Source organism: Homo sapiens, chromosome 8 (assembly GCF_000001405.40).
Source record: "Homo sapiens chromosome 8, GRCh38.p14 Primary Assembly".
Taxonomy (NCBI): domain Eukaryota; kingdom Metazoa; phylum Chordata; class Mammalia; order Primates; family Hominidae; genus Homo; species Homo sapiens.
This window is the reverse complement of record NC_000008.11, coordinates 109,080,393-109,097,710: the sequence shown is the minus strand read 5'-3', so window position 1 is coordinate 109,097,710 and position 17,318 is coordinate 109,080,393. Positions and strand designations below refer to the sequence as shown.

At 39.0% G+C, this 17,318-nt stretch overlaps 1 protein-coding gene across 1 annotated transcript in view; it reads right to left on the bottom strand.

The window, feature by feature from the left end:
- Positions 1-11,126, bottom strand: part of TRHR (thyrotropin releasing hormone receptor) — a 34,981-nt gene extending 23,855 nt beyond the window's left edge. The window contains exons 1-2 of the mRNA NM_003301.7: positions 10,828-11,126; positions 9,410-10,286 (exon numbers count right to left, since the gene is read on the bottom strand). Of these exons, the coding sequence (NP_003292.1) occupies positions 9,410-10,198 (789 nt within the window). The 5' untranslated portion in view covers positions 10,199-10,286; positions 10,828-11,126. The remainder of the gene's footprint in view (positions 1-9,409; positions 10,287-10,827) is intronic.

Sequence of the window (17,318 nt, the reverse complement as noted above, 5' to 3'; positions counted from 1 at the left end):
TCTGCAGACTGGAGGGTCTTCTTGTATTTTATGTTGGCCTAGTGAATGCCTACTCATTTTTCAAGCCTGAGAGTGACTTGTATCCCACTGGGGGCTTGCTCTTCAACCTTATGCACAGTAAGTACCACTTTCTTGTCTCTTCTGTACACTGCACAGCTTAACCTTATGTTTTAACGTAGATCTTTCATATTCTACTGAATGTTCCAGAGGAGAGTATTATTGGTTCTTTTTAGACAATACCTGGTATAAAATTGGTGCTCAATACATGTTTATTGAATTGAAGAGATAACGGATGAACAAAGACAGAAAAGGGATGAAAGGGTCATATTTTAAAGGGTGTTGAAAGCCCTCAGAGAAGCTTGGAGATATATATATATATTTTTAAGAAGATGATGTGTGAAAACTGTTTGAGGAAAATTAGTCACCTAGGGGCACTCAAATGAATTTGTTCTCATCTTTATACCTCTGTTCATTTTGTTTCCCTTCCCTGGGTGGTCATTTCTCTGCCTCTCTATGCCTTCTGTCCAAGGTAGCTCTTTTATTGTGGAGGGAATTTAAAGGTTCATGGGAAAGCCAACAGGTTCTTGTACAATGAAGTCAATTATCTGAGTTTGCCATGTTTCCAAATCAGCCTGTCCTATTTGGAGGGGGAAATCTTCCTAAAACATCTTCTCCACTAACACAATCACCATCGTACTGGCAAGTTGCACTTTTGTTATTTTGGGAATTCAAAAAAGATTTAATAAAAGACAAGGAGATTTTAAGTAAAATCAGAGAAGAATATGTCACATGTAAGGATAATTTTTCAGGAAGCAAAATAGAGTGTTGGACTTGACCGAGACCCTAAGTCCGTACGAATGAACTCTTTCACACTTTCATTTACTATATTTGTAAAATTACATGTTTTTTTATATATATATACACATATATTTGTATATATACATACACACAAACACAAAAGTGTGCTGATAAGTATTTAACAACCATCTCTCCACAAAAAAAGAGGGGGCCCTGGCTTGTCATATTTGCTGATTTTGTAAAGTAAGTAATTCAACCATGACCAATTTTAAGCCACCAGTGTGATGGCACTGAATGCGGAGTTGGGGAGTGAGACTAATCACCTGCTCTTGCAAAGCCTGTACTCCTTGGCAGCTACACACCACTGAGTGTGTACACTTTGGGGAACCTACTGTAGCCAAATGCAGGGCTGAGGGTACCACAATGCAAGGCCCTACTCTTTGGGATGTTAGTGAGAGTGGGAAGACATGCTACCAATTATGAGGACCAAGAATTACTAAAGCACATGTGTATGCAAAGTACTGTGGAAATATAGGAAGAACACCTAACATATATGTAGTTAGGAATGCAGCTATATAAATCTACCTGAGAAATTCAGTGAAGGCTTGATGAGGTGGCTGGGCATCATTTGATTTATGACTTGAAAAATAATTGGGAGTTTGCAAGATGAACAGTGTTCCAGCTTAGGGAACGCAGCATGTTCAGAGAACTACAAATAATTCAGAATTGCTGGAGCGTAATATGTAAGTTGGGAGAGCCACGTGAGAGGAAGCCGAAAATGTAGGAAAGGGACAAGCTCTTACTTGTGACGCTAAGGAGTTAAAATTCCAGTGCTCAGGGGAGTGTAAAAATTATGCAAATAGTATCTCTGTGTTAGAGAGATCCTTTAGTGAGCAATGTGCAGAATGATTTGGAGGAGAGTGCCATGGGAGCCAGAGAGGCTGGTAAGGTGTGCAGTGAAATAGGGCAGTGAGAGGCAGTGAACCAGGGCAGCAGCGGTGCGAGTGGAGAAGTAGGTCAGCAGGAGAATAATGAGCTGGAATCACTAGGATGTGGCTATTGCTTAGCTATGGGGGGCGGGGGGATAACAGGAGAAAAAGGCACTTAGAAGGACCCCCAGGTTTCTGGTTTGGGAATCTAACACAGGAAAGAAAGAAAGAGGTAGAAGTTTATAAGGCAAAATAATGTGTTTTGCTTTAGACCTATTGGATTTGGTGTAATTATGTGATGTCCAAAAAGCAATTGTATGTATGGGTCAGGAGATGTCTTTTCTGAAGCTACACACTGAAGACTCAGGTGAAAGTTGTAAGCATGGGCGTAGAAGAAAGTATGTAGAATGACAAGGGACAGGATGGGGAGGAGAGGCGGGAATTAGGTGTAGCAGGACCACAATCTGGCTCAGACTTCCTTCTCTAGACGCTTCCCTTCCATAGCTTGCTTCAACAATACCAGATTATTCCCTCCCTGAACGTGCCCAGTCTTCTCCCATCTACTTCCCCCTTTCTGTTGAACTTTCCTTCTTTTTTCTCTGACTTTATAGCTGCTTGTAGACATTCATCACACCTTTATAGGTCCAGTTCAAATACCATGTACTCCAAAAGCCTCCCCCCATTTTCTTTCTCCTCTCATTGATGCCACGTTCTCTCTCATAGAATGTAGTGGTATGCTCAGAATTGTTTGTGTACATGGCCCATATTAAGCTCCTTGAAGACAAAGAGTTTGTCTTTATATATCCCTGTAGCCTCTATACCTAGGATAGTGCTAGGGGCTTTTTGGATGTGAATGAATGTTTAATTAAATTAGGGGACATATTGAATAAGAATGACCTACTGCAAAATTTTGCTTAACACTGACCCAGCTCGAGCATTATAACTTTTGCTTTTTACCCCAACTCATTAAAAAAAAAAACCTAAAGGAGACTAAGAACATACTTACCAATCAGACTTCATCTGTCTGGAACTTGGAGTATCTGTGTGCATGTTGAAGAATTAATGAGAGACTATGTAAAGAAGTATAAAGTAGTTTGTCATCTTCAAGTTTAGCTGATTTTATGATGTTTCTTGTGTGATCAGATTGAATTCTATAGGAGCATAGGTCTTTCTTTTTTGTAGGCATATGGAATAATTTATTTTTATCTGCTAGTGAAATTATTGCTCAATTATTCATAAAGACACATTGTTTATTCCTAATTTTATATTTGCAACATGCAAATATAAAATTAGGAATAAACAATGTGTACTTATCTAAAAGCACACAAAACACACAACTTTAGGAGATTATTAGTCAACTTATAGGATATGTACAAAATCTTTTCTTATACAGGATGTGAATCAGAAAATAGAAAACTATTCTTTAATAAAAATAAAATGGCACACTTAGCTGTGAGCTGTCACAAAAATTACACATTTTTCTCCTGAACTTAGAGATATTTACACTATTAAGTATATAGTTGAACCCAGACATTGGAATAAATAATACAATTAAAAATGAAAGATAAGCTGGGCGCAGCAGTGTGCACCTGTAGTCCCAGCTACTTGGGAGACTGAAGCAGGATGATTTCTTGAACTCAAGAGGTAGAAGTTGCAGTAAGCTATGATTGCACCACTGCACACCAGCCTGCATGACAGAGCAAGGCCTCCATCTCTAAAAAAATTTTGAAAAATGAAAAAAAAAAAATGAAAGATGAGCCTGTAGCCTCAGTACTCTCAGGAAACCTCTAATTTAGGCCTAATGCTGAAGAGTTTAATACCATTAATTTGCCTTGTGAGCTTAACCATTGATTAAGCTACCTGGGGAGAAGAATGAGTCTGTTGAGTAAAGGTTCTCTTAGATGTAGGTGGAGCTGGCAGCTGCTTACGTTTACAATTTATGAGATTTTATGGTCCCAAATGCCAGGCCTACTGCCTGACATTCCAACATTGTGCCTCCTTTCCTATGTGTCTTACAGGTTTTACGTAGCCTCTCATGAATTCTTCAAAATGCAAACTAATACCCCAAGTTCCAGACAGGTGAAGGCTGGTCGGTAACTATCTTCTTAGTCTTTTTTTTTTTTTTTTAAATGAGTTGGAGGGAAAGCAAAAGTTCTAAAGGTAGAGCTGGGTCAACACTAAGTAAAATTTTGCAGTAGGTCATTATTGTTCAATATCTTCCCCAAATTTAATTAAACATTCATTCATACCCCAAAACATGTATTCTTTAAAAAGTAAATAGGCCGGGCATGGTGGCTCATGCCTGTAATCCCAGCACTTTGGGAGGCCAAGGCTGGCGGATCGTGAGGTCAGGAGATCGAGACTATCCTGGCCAACGTGGTGAAACCCCGTCTCTCCTAAAAAAACAAAAATTAGCTGGCCATGGTGGTGCATGCCTGTAATCCCAGCTACTCGGGAGGCTGAGGCAGGAGAATTGCTTGAACACGGGAGTCGGAGGTTGCAGTGAGCCGAGATCGCACCACTGCACTCCAGCCTGGTGACAGGGTGAGACTCTGTCTCAAAAAAAAAAAAAAAAAAAAAAAAGTAAATAGCACTAGAGGTAGGAGTTGGAGTGAGGCAGGGGAGAAGACGGAAGACACATGGAAGCCAGTTCTTTATCTGAGTGTCTTCATTTTCCATGAGCATTGTATGACTGAGGAGAGCTTAAGAGAGGGTCAGGAGGGTGCCCAGCGAGGTGGGGATCACTGAGACACATGGGAGAGAGGGAAGAGTAGGTGGCTGGACAGGTGGGAGGAAAGCAGATCTGAATTTTTTCTGATATATCTCATATGACTTCAGCAATAGCACTATGAGGTCATTATTTTTCCTGTTTTATTGATGAGAAAACTGAGGCTCAGAGAAACAAACTTAATCCTGATCACTTTCTTTTGCTTTGCCTTGTGCTTTCTCTTTGAGAATATTATTTCCAAAATTGTATGTGGAAAACCAGGAAGCCAAAACTACATATACATTTGACTATAATTGTGTTTAAAAAAAAAAAAGATCCAGTGAAAACATAAGAAAAGCGGTATAACAAAATGATGATGATTTTGGTCTTTGAGAGGTGGGGTCAGGAGGTAAGAGATGGCTTTTGCCTATTCCTAGTTTTCTATATTTTCCATAATACACATGACTGCTTTTATAGCATCATTGTCATTATCACCAATAACAGCAAAAGGCGTGCATTACTTTAAAAAGGAAAGTTGTGCCGGGTGCGGTGGCTCAAGCCTGTAATCCCAGTACTTTGGAAGGCCGAGACTAGCGTATCACCTGAGGTCAGGAGTTCAAGACCAGTCTGGCCAACATGGTGAAACCCTGTCTCTACTAAAAATAGAAAAAAATTAGCCAGGTGTGTTGGCGCACACCTGTAATCCCAGCTACTCAGGGGGCTGAGGCAGAAGAATCTCTAGAATCCTGGGGGCAGAGGTTGCAGTGAGCTGAGATACTGCCACTGCATTCCAGCCTGGGCTACAGAGGGAGACTCTATCTCAAAAATAAATAAATAAATAAATAAAATAAAAATAAATAAATAAATAATAAATAAAAAGGAAAGTTGTTTCTGTTTCTTGGGCTACCAATATTCCTTCTAGATGTTTAATAGTTTCATGGAAACAAAGACCGATATTTTTAAGGCTTGATGAGTCAAGTGAATTCCATAGTAAAAATTCTGCCATTACTCTTAGAGCTTCTATTAAGACTATGTTACATGGTTTCTCTACTTGTTATTGTGTAAGAATTAAGAAAAAAATTATTGAAGCAACTCCATTGATAATAAAACTGGTAGCCTGTTTTATAAATCTATAAAATATTCTGCATATTTCTGCATCCTGTAGAAAGTACATATTTGAATTGAATGTATTTATTGATATTACATTTTACTAAGATGTTCAGGTGTTTCTGTGCTTTCAAAATACCAAAAATCCAATCAATTACATAGAAATACACAGTCAATGATAGAGATATTGTATCTACATAATGTTGAACCCCTGAATTGACTGAACTGAGGGACTCTTGAGGCATTGTGTAGATAGAGCTGAAATGAGACAAATATGATAATTTAAACAATGTCTCCTTTATATTAAAATAACAAACTATAAAAGCAATGTATTTAGTCAGATAATCCGTTTAGTTTACACAATTCCAAGCCATAAGTTTGGGTAATTTATCTTACGGAATTTACCCAACATTTAGATGTTTTCCTAAAATATAATTGAATCTCTGAATAAAAGAAAACAAAGATTTTGGCCTGGATTTTCTGCATAGAGAATGAAAGTTAAAAACAAATAAGGAAGAAACTCACATTTGTCCCTTACATGTAAATGCTCTTTTACTTCCTTTTTAAATGTTTCTCTTTTAGGCTATGCACATTTGAATTTAAGAACTTGATTAGAAAGACCTGACCCAGATGAGTATTTATTAAACTGTAAGTTAAACTTTCCTAAAAGAAAAAAATGCAGAGAAAATATTAAAATTAAAGTCCTTTGGCTATAGAAGGTGGAGGTTTGAACCTTTCAAAGGTTTAAGAAAATAACTATTTTGGAAGAAGAAAAAAGCAGGTCACTAATTTTGTACAAAACTAGCTCCCCTTCACTGTTCTCATTCCCACTGATCGGGGCACCACATTCTTCCAGACTCAGAATCCTGGGGCCATATTGAATTGTCCTTTCTTCATCCTTTATGTCTAATATGTTCACATCACACCCTTTCTTTCTTTGAAACATCTTTCTGGTATACTCTTTACTTTAAATTCTCCTGATAGAGGATCTTACTGCCTCATGCCTGTATCACTACTAACAACTTCCAAAGTGGTCTTTCTTCCACCAATCTCTCTCTCTTCAAATCTGCCTCCCCGACGGCTGTCAGATTTCTCATCCCTGAACACCATTTCATCACTGCTGCTCCCTGCTCATCACTCACATTCTTTGTTGCCTCTGCATTAAGTGCAAATTCCTTTCTTTGCCTGATTGTCTGGATCCTCCACAGCCTTCTCTGTCTCTCTGTCTCTTTCTCTTCTTTCACTTTCACACATCAATCCAGTCTTACTTTTTACCACTCCCACAAATACATCATTCATTTCAGACAACTAAGTCGCTCCATCACATAAGTCCCACTCTATGTGCCCCTTCTTGGCCCCTCTCCAAACCCATGCCATTCTCATCCCAGCCACTATGTCTTGTCCTTTATGCATGGAATACTGTCCTTCTTGACTTTTACTTTTCAAATTATCTTCATCCTTCCAGAGCCATCTCAAATGCCACCTCTTCCATAAAGACTTCTCTGATCCCTGTAGCCCAGTAATTTTCCTTCTTTTCTCTGAACTCACATCCCATCTATAATCAGGGTTGAATTACAAGACACACTACTTAAATACACTCCTATTGGCTTATGTGTCACTCCATGTTTCTCAATTAGGGTGTTATTGGTATTTGCAACAAGGGAACTTCATTCCTTATTCTTGGAGGCTAACTGACAGTGGTGTTAATGTGACAACCCCAAATGCTCAGAATGTATTTCCAAATGCTCTAATTATTTAAAAAAACTCCTTAAAGAAGTTACCACGTCATATACACATTTGTTCAACAAGTAATCTTTGTTAAAGCAGTGAATGTGTATTTTTAAGGAAAAACCTGTAGTTCCCTCACAGTTGCCAAAATATTTTTAAAAATTGAGAAGGAGCCAGTTAATACTCAGTTGTTAATCACCACTCCAATTTAGGCATTTTTCATGAGGTATTTCATGGATCCTTACACTGATCTTGGATATTGCTATTTATCTCATTTAACAGATGACAAAACTAAGGCTCACAGAGTTCTGCTTATCCAAGTTTATAGAGTTTGAATGGAATCCTGGCATTTAAGCCCAAGGTTGTTTGGAGCCAAGTCTTTGGCTTTTTCTTCTATCATACAGCCTCTGTAAGGACAGCTTATCGGTAACAGCTTTGAAATAAGACTGTGAACATGTAACATAATTAGCAAATTAAAGCATATTAATGCTGATAGGTACTAATGACTGTAATGGAAAGAAAGGACATTAGACAAGACAAACAAGTTTTAAAAATGTATAGCAGGAATGCAAATTGGAGTCTAATGAATGAATTTACTCCCTGATCTTCCTTGCTGCAGACATTAACCCATGTTTGGTGTCTAATTGAGATGTACATATTCTTTGCTTTCTTATTATATTTGTCAATGTTTGTCTTGGAAGATAGTCAATAGATCTCTCTAAATTTCCATTAATCAAGTTTTGGGTAATAAATGGCTGAATAAGCCTTATATTAGGTATCACTACTAGATCCAAGGCAAAAGAAATCTAAGAGCTGACAATAGTTGTTTAGGTCTTTCTTCTGTCATCTAGTTATCTTTAATAATAAGTATTATATAAACCAAGTATTACAGCACCATTTAAAATGCAGTATATGTTTCCTTTAAGTTATGGCTCATTATTCATTTCATGCATATCTAAAACACTTAAATTTTTTAGCAGTTTATTTTGCTGTGTCCAGTTACGATGCATATATCAGCTGGAGTTTATGAAGTAACAGTGTGAATGATTATATGTATACTTTTTTACAAAGTACACTCAGTTTCTAGCTATGTACACAGAACTATATTCCTTTCAAGAAATATGAGAAAATTCAACCCATTTAAAAGTATCAGCATGTTGATTTCAAGTTTAGATTTCTTTTTTCAGCTATGAGAATAAATATTTATCATCTGTTCATTATGTTTAACAAAGAAGGAAAAGAAACTTCAAGCTAAGTTTGTCAGTAACCTAGAACAATTGTATATAGATAAATGTGTAAATGATATAAAAGTATTTTATTCCTATATCATTTCATAAACACTGCAACAAAGTTTTGCACTTGGTTCACTAGTAAAACCACTATTCAACTAATTATATGCACATTCAGGTGATCTAAAAGTATAACAGAATTTTTAGGTATGCTTAGCAGGAAAAAACCGATTTTTAAAAAAATTTCAATCATTCTTTATGAAAAATTGAGCTTGATGTTGTCTTTTTTATTGGAACATTTCCTGAGCAAAGTGCATTTTCAGCTTCTGCATGCTGGGACACTGTGTAGGGAGCTGGAGGAGAGGGTGATAGAATCTTTCCCCACTAAGACTACCAAAAATAAGTCCAGGAACCTTTCTCAGGTATATGTCTCCATTGTGAGTAACCATAGAATGGCAAAGAAAGTTTCATTTATTTTTAAACTAACCTGTTTTCAAACTGTCTTGTCAAATATTTGTTGTGCAATAGAATTTTTAAAGATAATTCTTTATCATGCAATAGAATTATTTCCTACAGAAGCCAGAAATTCTCCAAATATTCTGATAACATTTCCAGAGAGGCATAAACATATTAAAGGTGAATTTCTAGAGTTTCTGTTTATATTTCTTTGTATCTTAATAGCACCTGAACTGATGCCTGCTGATGTGCTATCAAATTTTCCCTATCTATTTTTAGATCTTCAGTTGCTTTAGAGATGGATTTAATATGTTAGGCAGAAGCTTACACTGTGAAACATTTGCATGATTGTATTTTGGTTTCGCCATCAGCTAAACAGGGAAAAGTTGTTTCCCATCTCCAAGGAACTCTATCCCACATTTCCTCTATTGACTTGGAGTTTCAGTTTTGCTTACCTGCTTCCTTGAAGATACTGTGCTGTTGAAACATCTATTAGAGGTATTTACATTCAGATTTGTGTTCTGATGGGTTGAATCATTTTTCCATGTCTTAGAGTTTTCTTTAGGATCTGAAGGAATGGGATTTAAGAAAAGGATTCTAGCTATGAATCCATAGAGGACGGTAGCCAGGATCATTGGCACAACATAAAAGACACCAAAGTCCATTAGGTAAATAGGTGAGTAGTAATTCCTGGAGATCTTGTAGCCACAGGATATCACAATAGCATCTTTGTAGGTGCTAATATTGAGATCCAGCAAGAAGAACCAGAGCATACAGTAAAGAGATGTGAAAGCCCAGACAAAGATGATAATCTTTTTGGCTCTGGAAAATGTGCAGAGAAACTGGGCTTTGATGGGGTGACAGATTGCTATGTACCTCTCAATGGTAAAGGCTGTTATTGAACAAGAGGATGCATTAATTCCCAAATACTGGAGGTAAGTAATGCAGAGGCATCCAACATAGCCATAGACCCAGGAACCGTAGATACTGTCTGTTATGTTGGGGAGGCCTGCGGCCACCAAGACCATGAGATCAGCTACTGCCAGGCTCACCAGGTAGCAGTTTGTGGGGGTCCTCATGTGCTTGGTTCTCATGACAACCAGGACTACCATGATGTTGCCTACAATGCCCAGGCCACAAATAATGAGTACAAGTAAGATGGTGACCACCTGGTATTCTAAGGCCACCACTGCTCGTGGCTGAAGCTGTGTTTGGTTCAGTTCACTGACTGTCTCGTTTTCCATCTTTAGAAGCTTAAAGTTTCTCGGAAACACTGACTTCTCAAAACATCTTCTTTCCAGCGCCCACCTTTATTGCAGCAGTTCCATCCCCCTGTGAAGGGTCATAGTACATATTCATTAACAGTGTTACAATTTCTGATCAAGTCCCAATCACAAATAACCGTCACTTCCACTCCTTTCACTTCCCATTTTTCTATGGGAATAGGGCTCATGTGTACTTCTTAAAACTTCTTTTATTGCATCTCTAGTGTAGAATGGAGTAACTGTTTTGACCAGCTCACATTAAGAGGGACCAGTTCCCTCTTAATGGAGAAAAATGCTTAAGGAAAGAGAAACAGTAAAAACTAATTGTTTTGAAACAGTGCCCAGTTGAAAAAAACTAAATATCTGCTAACTGAAAAATAAATATGAATACACCTCTTAGATGCCTGGCAAAAGTATAATAAAGAAGAAAAAGATACCAGAGGAAAAAGCCAAGAAGCTCAATAATCAAGCTTGTTACAAATTTAGCTGTTGCCTCTTTTGCTCTCAGAGGGTGAGATGTCTTTGGTATAAAATAGCAAGCCTTTGAGATGACATTTCCCCATGCCCCCTGCCCCACAGATTCAAGAGAGGACAATTTCTTCTCTTACCTTATCCTCTGTAGCGCTGCCTGATTTTCTGGGTAGATGAAGTGGTAATAGTTCCAAGTTTCTAATCTTGCAGAAAATCTTGTCTACTCTATTTGAGAGGGAGACCACTTAGCAGTGCTCAGTCTTTAAAACTGCAGTTTCTCCAAACCCTCACAGCCCTTTCCAACTAATGACAAACCATACAGCCGCGGCAGAAGCAGAAGCAGCAGCAGGAGCAGCAGCAGTGAGGCTGTCAAATCATAGATCGTCCCCTAATGAGAACATACACGCTCGCTCGCTCTCTCACACACAGAGACACACACACACACACACACATACATTCACACACACTCACAGATGCCAGTCAGTCCTCACTGATTCAGAGTCTTCTGCTCTTGGAGGATTTACTATTAAATGTGCTGATGAGACAGTCTTTAATTTGGAAAGCTGAAATCATAAGCCAGGGGTCTAGAAGCAGCTGGCTTTGTCGTTGCTTATCATCTAAGTTCTGCAGAAACTCTAGTACCTGAGCTGCTCTGAAATACATTTACACTCCTTGCTTGATAGGACTTTGGGGTTAGCAAATCCTTCTCAGTCTAGACATGGCCCTTGAAGCTTGAAATATCTGTCTGAGCTGAAATCAACCTCTTTCTCTACTATGAAAACCCTTGTACTGTTTCTCAAGTGAATCAGTACAATTGGCTTCCTCCTCTCATATTTTGTGAATGGAAAATTAGTTAAAGTTGATTTCAAACCATTTCAGCTGCAATCTTCTGATGCTTATAACAATTATTTTTAAAAGGCCTCTTTGAGCTAAGAACATCAATTTAAACTGCGTAGGGTCTGTTAAGTTTTTCAACTCTTATTTCTGGACCACTTTATAGAATCTCTCTATCGGCCCTGGGTGCTTTTCACCTTCACCTGTCCTCTGGATTTCCAGTCACATGAACCACCTAGCAATGTTTTGTCTCAGTTTATTTCTAGGTGGAAAAATCATCTAGTAAAAATCTATACCAGTGCCATTCTGTTACCAAACCTCTGAAATGAAAATTAATAGACACATCTTTTGAAGAAAAGTACACTTCAGCATTATTATTTCTCTAAAGTAGCCAGTGGGCAAATCTACAGTTTGTTTTTTTTTTTTTAACTTTGAGACAGGATCTCACTCTGTCACCCAGACTGGAGTGCAGTGGCATGATCACAGCTCACTGCAGCCTCGACCTCCTGGGCTCAAGTGATCCTCCTACCTCAGCCTCTTGTGTAGCGGAGACTACAGGTGCACACCACCACGCTCAGCTAAGTTTTGTATTTTTTTGTAGAGATGGGGTCTTGTTATTTTGCACAGGCTGGTCTTGAACTTCTGGGCTCAAGTGACCCACCTACCTCAGCCTTCCAAAGTGCTGGGATTACAGGTGTGAGGCACTATGCCTTGTCTTAAATCTATTTTTTTAATGGAAGCTCAGAAAACATGTATCTTTTCTCAAGATACCAACTGAATACATCAAATGCTGATGCTTCTCCACTTTTATTTTATTAACTGACAATGAAAAATACCCTTAGCTAAATTTCCTGTAAGGTAACTGGTGGATTAAGAATAGACCTCTAGGCTGGGCACGGTGGCTCATGCTTGTGATCACACCAGCACTTTGGGAGGCCGAGGTGGGCAGATCACCAGAGGTCAGGAGTTTGAGACCAGCCTGGCCAACATGGCAAAACTCCGTCTCTGCTAAAAATACAAAAATTAGCTGGGTGTGGTGGCACACGTCTGTAATCATAACTACTGGGGAGCCTGAGGCAGGAGAATCTCTTGAACCTGGGAGGCAGAAGTTGCAGTAAGCCGAGATCACGCCATTGTACTCCAGCCTGGGCGACAAGAGCAAAACTCTGTCTCAAAAAAACAAAAACCAAAAAAACCCAAACAACAACAACAACAACAAACAAACAAAAAACACCAAAACCTCTAGAAGAGGTCAATGGAAGAGTCTATTTTGAGTAGACAGGACCATAGGGATATCAAAAACATGCACAAGGATGGGTAACAATGAGATGAAGGTGAAAGTGAAGTTCTGGATGATATTGAATGGCTTTCACCCGTTGAACCATTGAGGAATCCTTGAATACCCATTTCTCCTTCCCAATTATTTGTAGTTATGAGCCCACGTTCAGCCTTCAGACATGTATTGTTTGGCCTGTACATGGTAAGCCCAAGGGATTTAACACAATTTATTATTTTTTACCTTTCAAAATTGAGAAATTGAATATTAAATTTTAGGGATTGTTATCAGAAACACGTGAAAGGTCTGGCAACCAGGGGCTTGCATTTCTTCACAGAAATAATCATTTGTGGCTGAGTGGGTGTTGTGGTCAGGAGTTTGTAGGGGTCCCTGGTGCAGGAAGTGCATCCGGTTCCTCACTCCACACTACCTCCAGCATCTCTCAGTCATGCATACCTGCCTTCTGCCACCGTTTGAGTTCTGACCCCTGCATCAAACCCAAGTTCCTGAGAGAGACAGGGAGGGCACCAGCCAAATGCACATTCTTTTATCCCAAGCAGGATTTTTGTCTGAGTTTTAGTTTTCTCCTCCACCTGGTTTAGGAGGCTGGACAATGGATATTCCCTATGCCTTTCTCCCTGGCCTAGAGGACAGAGATTACTGTGAAAAGCTTGTCTCTTGTCTAGCCTCCTGCTTTTCAGAATGAAAAATGCTTTCTAAGATGAAGGTGTTTCCTCCTTACTGCACCCTACCACCACCACTTCCAAACCAAAATTCCTCTTGAAAAGTCTTACTTCGTAAATCCCATCTTCCCATCTTGTTCCCCTAAGGAGTTTAGTTGGCCTTCAGGCCTCCTAAAAACAGCTTACTTCAAATCTTATAGTTGAGTTGTCAAGATGAGAGGAGAGAACCCATATACTGCTACCTGCTGTCTCAATTCCACCTCCACTCCAATTCTTTTCTTATTGCCATTCTTCAACACTTACAGGCAAGGCCATTATTCGGAGTCTCTTTTCTGTGTCTCTGTTTTTTTTAACACATAATTATTAAGGTCCTACTATGTGTCAGGCAGCTAGTACATAAAATTTTGTTTTTACCTCCAAGTAGGTTGTGGTCTATTGGGAGCAGCAGGTTTGTAAACAGTTACAGAGAGATATGCACTAAAAATGTGCAATCACAGGGTTTGGACTATGAAAGGAAGGCATTTGTGGGTGGTCAGGGCAGTCAGCTGAGGCACAGAGAGGGCTTCTAAGGCAACGTAACCTCTGAGAACTTCTGTTCTCAGGAACAGCCTTGAAGAAAAGCACAGCTTTCCTTTGAAAGGTGGGGAAAATGAAGACATTCTGACTAGAAGTAATAGAATATTACAAGAGTCAGCTGTGTAAAATGGCCAGGGATTTGGGGAGACAGGGGAGTGATTTTATGATTCAGCTTTGGCCATGAGGCATTTGAGCTGGTGATGAGACAACCATCTGATGACCACCAGGCAGGTTTTCTAATAAAGGCGCTCTCCCTTGTGCACTGACTCAGACTGTCCTTGGTCCCGCTTCCTTCTACCCCTAAACTTGTTCTTTCAACTCTGGAGAGGCTACATTTCTGAGTTTACCACCCCAGACTTGCCTATTCAGTACGGTACTATCAATCAACTTTCATCTTCTCAATAAACTTTCAATCAATTTCATGCTCTTTGCAAAATTATATTTTCAAAGCATGATTTCATAAGGTAGGTTTTCTATTTGTAAACTCAGATAATATAAATGTTCCCTATGTGCAAACAACTGCACAAAAATGGGAGAACATTTCTTTTTTTAAAAGGCAAGATCAGTATTATGATTTTTGCCTTTTGCCTCAGACTCCAAGTGCTAATCCCTTACTTACATTTTTGATGTTTTGCTTATTATGGATTATTTTCCAGTGATTTTGATTTTTAAAGGTATTTTAATAGTAAAATGTTATCTTGATAGCTGAGTTTTTTGGAGCTCCCTACACTTTGTGCCATCACTTACCTCATTCTATTCTCAGGCTTCTTATCCCTGGCTGAATTTCAGAATCAACTGGAGAGTTTTTAAAATTACAGAAACGTGGGTCCCTCTCTCAGACATTCTTAGCTAATTAGTCATAAAGTGAAATCCAAGCTTTGGTGTGTACAATGATGTTTGAGAACCACTGAGCCGTGCCAATAAAATTTGGTGTCTGGAGACGGGAAATTGGTGGTATGGGCTAATCCAGGCTGCGGGAGGGCCAGGCAGCTGAAATAAACTGAGTCTTAAGTAACCACCAATGTTCAGAAAGGTGACAGCTGTAGAAAATTTGGCAACAGAGAGCACTGGCACGAGACTCTGGTTCCTGTGAGAAATAACTATTCAGGTTTTTGGATTTAGAAGTGCTGAATGTGGTGCAGTGTATTGAGTGAGTTAAGATTCAGACACAGAAACCACGGCAAAGATTTGGTCACTGGAATCAGTAGGTAAAGTCTTGGCAGCTTCCATGTGATGTTGGGCCTGCAGGTGTGCAGAAGGCCAGAATTGAGGTTTGGAAACCTCTACCTAGATTTCAGAGGATGTGTGGGAATGCTTGAATATCCAGGCAGAAGTCTGCTGCAGGGCAGAGCCTTCATGGAAAGCCTCTACTAGAGCAGTGCAGAGGGGAAATGTGGGGTTGGAGTCCCCACACAGAGTCCCCACTGGGGTACTGCCTAGTGGAGCTGTTAGAAGAGGACCACCTTCCTCCAAATCCCAGAATGACAGATCCACTGATAGCTTGCACTGTGCACCTGGAAAAGCCACAGACACTCAATGCCAGTCCATGAAGGCAGCTGCGGGGGCTGTACCCTGCAGAGCCACAGGGATGGATCTGCCCAAGGCCTTGGGAACCCACCTCTTGCCATCAGCATTCCCTGGATGTGAGACATGGAGTCAAAGGAGATTATTTTGGAGCTTTAAGATTTAATGGCTGTCCTTCTGGATTTTGCACTTGCACGGGGCCTGTAGCCTCTTTGTTTTGGCCGATTTCTCCCATTTGGAACAAGAGCATTTACCCAGTGCCTGTATCCCCATTGTATCTTGGAAGTAACTAACTTGTTTTTGATTACACAGGCTCATAGGCAGAAGGGGCTTGCCTTATCTCGGATGAGAGTTTGGACTTGGACTTTCGACTTAATGTTGGAATGAGTTAAGACTTTGGGGGACTGTTGGGAAAGGACAGTTGTATTTTGCAATGTGAGAAAGACATGAGATTGGGGAGAGGCCAGGCACAAAATAATGTGGTTTGCCTCTGTGTCTCCACCCAAATCTCATGTTGAATTGTAATCCCCATATGTCAGGGGAGGGACCAGGTGGGAGATGATTGGATAATGGGGATGGATTTACCCCATGCTGTTTTCATGATAGTAAGTGAGTTCTCATGAGATCTAATGGTTTAAAAGTGTGGCACTTCCCTCTCACTCTCTCTCTCCTGCCACCTTGTGAAGAAGGTGCATGCTTCCCCTTCACTTTCCTCCATGATTATAAGTTTCCTGAGGCCTCCCCAGCCGTGTGGAACTCTGAGTCAATTAAACTTCTTTTCTTTATAAATTACCCAGTTCACGTAGTTCTTTTCTTATAATGTCTTTGTTTTTTGTAACAAGTCAACACTGATCTGATAAAATAAGTTGATAAGTCTTCCCACTTCCTATATATTTTGAAATATTTTTACAGGATTAGTATTATTTCCTCTTTAAATATCTGGTAGAGTTCATCAGTGAAGTCATATGACCATGAGTTTTCTTTGTTGAAAAGTTTTTAATTAGAAATGTGATTTTTATTTGGAGCTATTCATGTTATCTATGTCTTCTTAACTAGTTTTGATTACTTTGTCTTTCAGTGAATTTATCCTGTTTAGCTAATGTTGTCTATTTTATTTGCATTAAGTTTTCAGAACATTTCCCTCTTTATAATATCTGCTCAATGTATGGTGATGTTCACTCTTATTTTTTCTATTGGCAATTCATGCAATCTCCTTATTTTCATGATAAGTCTAGCTATAGGTTTATTTATTTTATTGACATTTACAAATGATCAACCTTTAGTTTAATTGTTTACTATTTTCTCTATTATCATTATTATTTCTCTTCTTACTTTGGCTTCAATTTGCTTCTTTAAAAAGTAGATAATTATAAAATATTTGGTTCACAAAACACACAATGTAAAATGAGGAAGACATGGTTTATTATGCATACATGTAGAAAAGATATGAGAAGTAATTATTTTAAAGGGACAGTGGTTTTTTTTTTGTTTTTTTTTACCTTTTAAGCTCAGGGGTACCAGTGGAGGTTTGTTGCATAGGTAAACAGGGGTTTGTTGTACAGATTATTTCATCACCCAGATATTAAGCCTAGTACCCAATAGTTATCTTTCGTGATCCTCTCCCTCCCCTGACCACCTTCCAATTTGCTTCTTATGGTGAAAGCTTAGATCACTGATTTATAACTCTCTGTTTAAAATGTAAGCATTTAGAACTATACGTTTCCCTCCCAATATT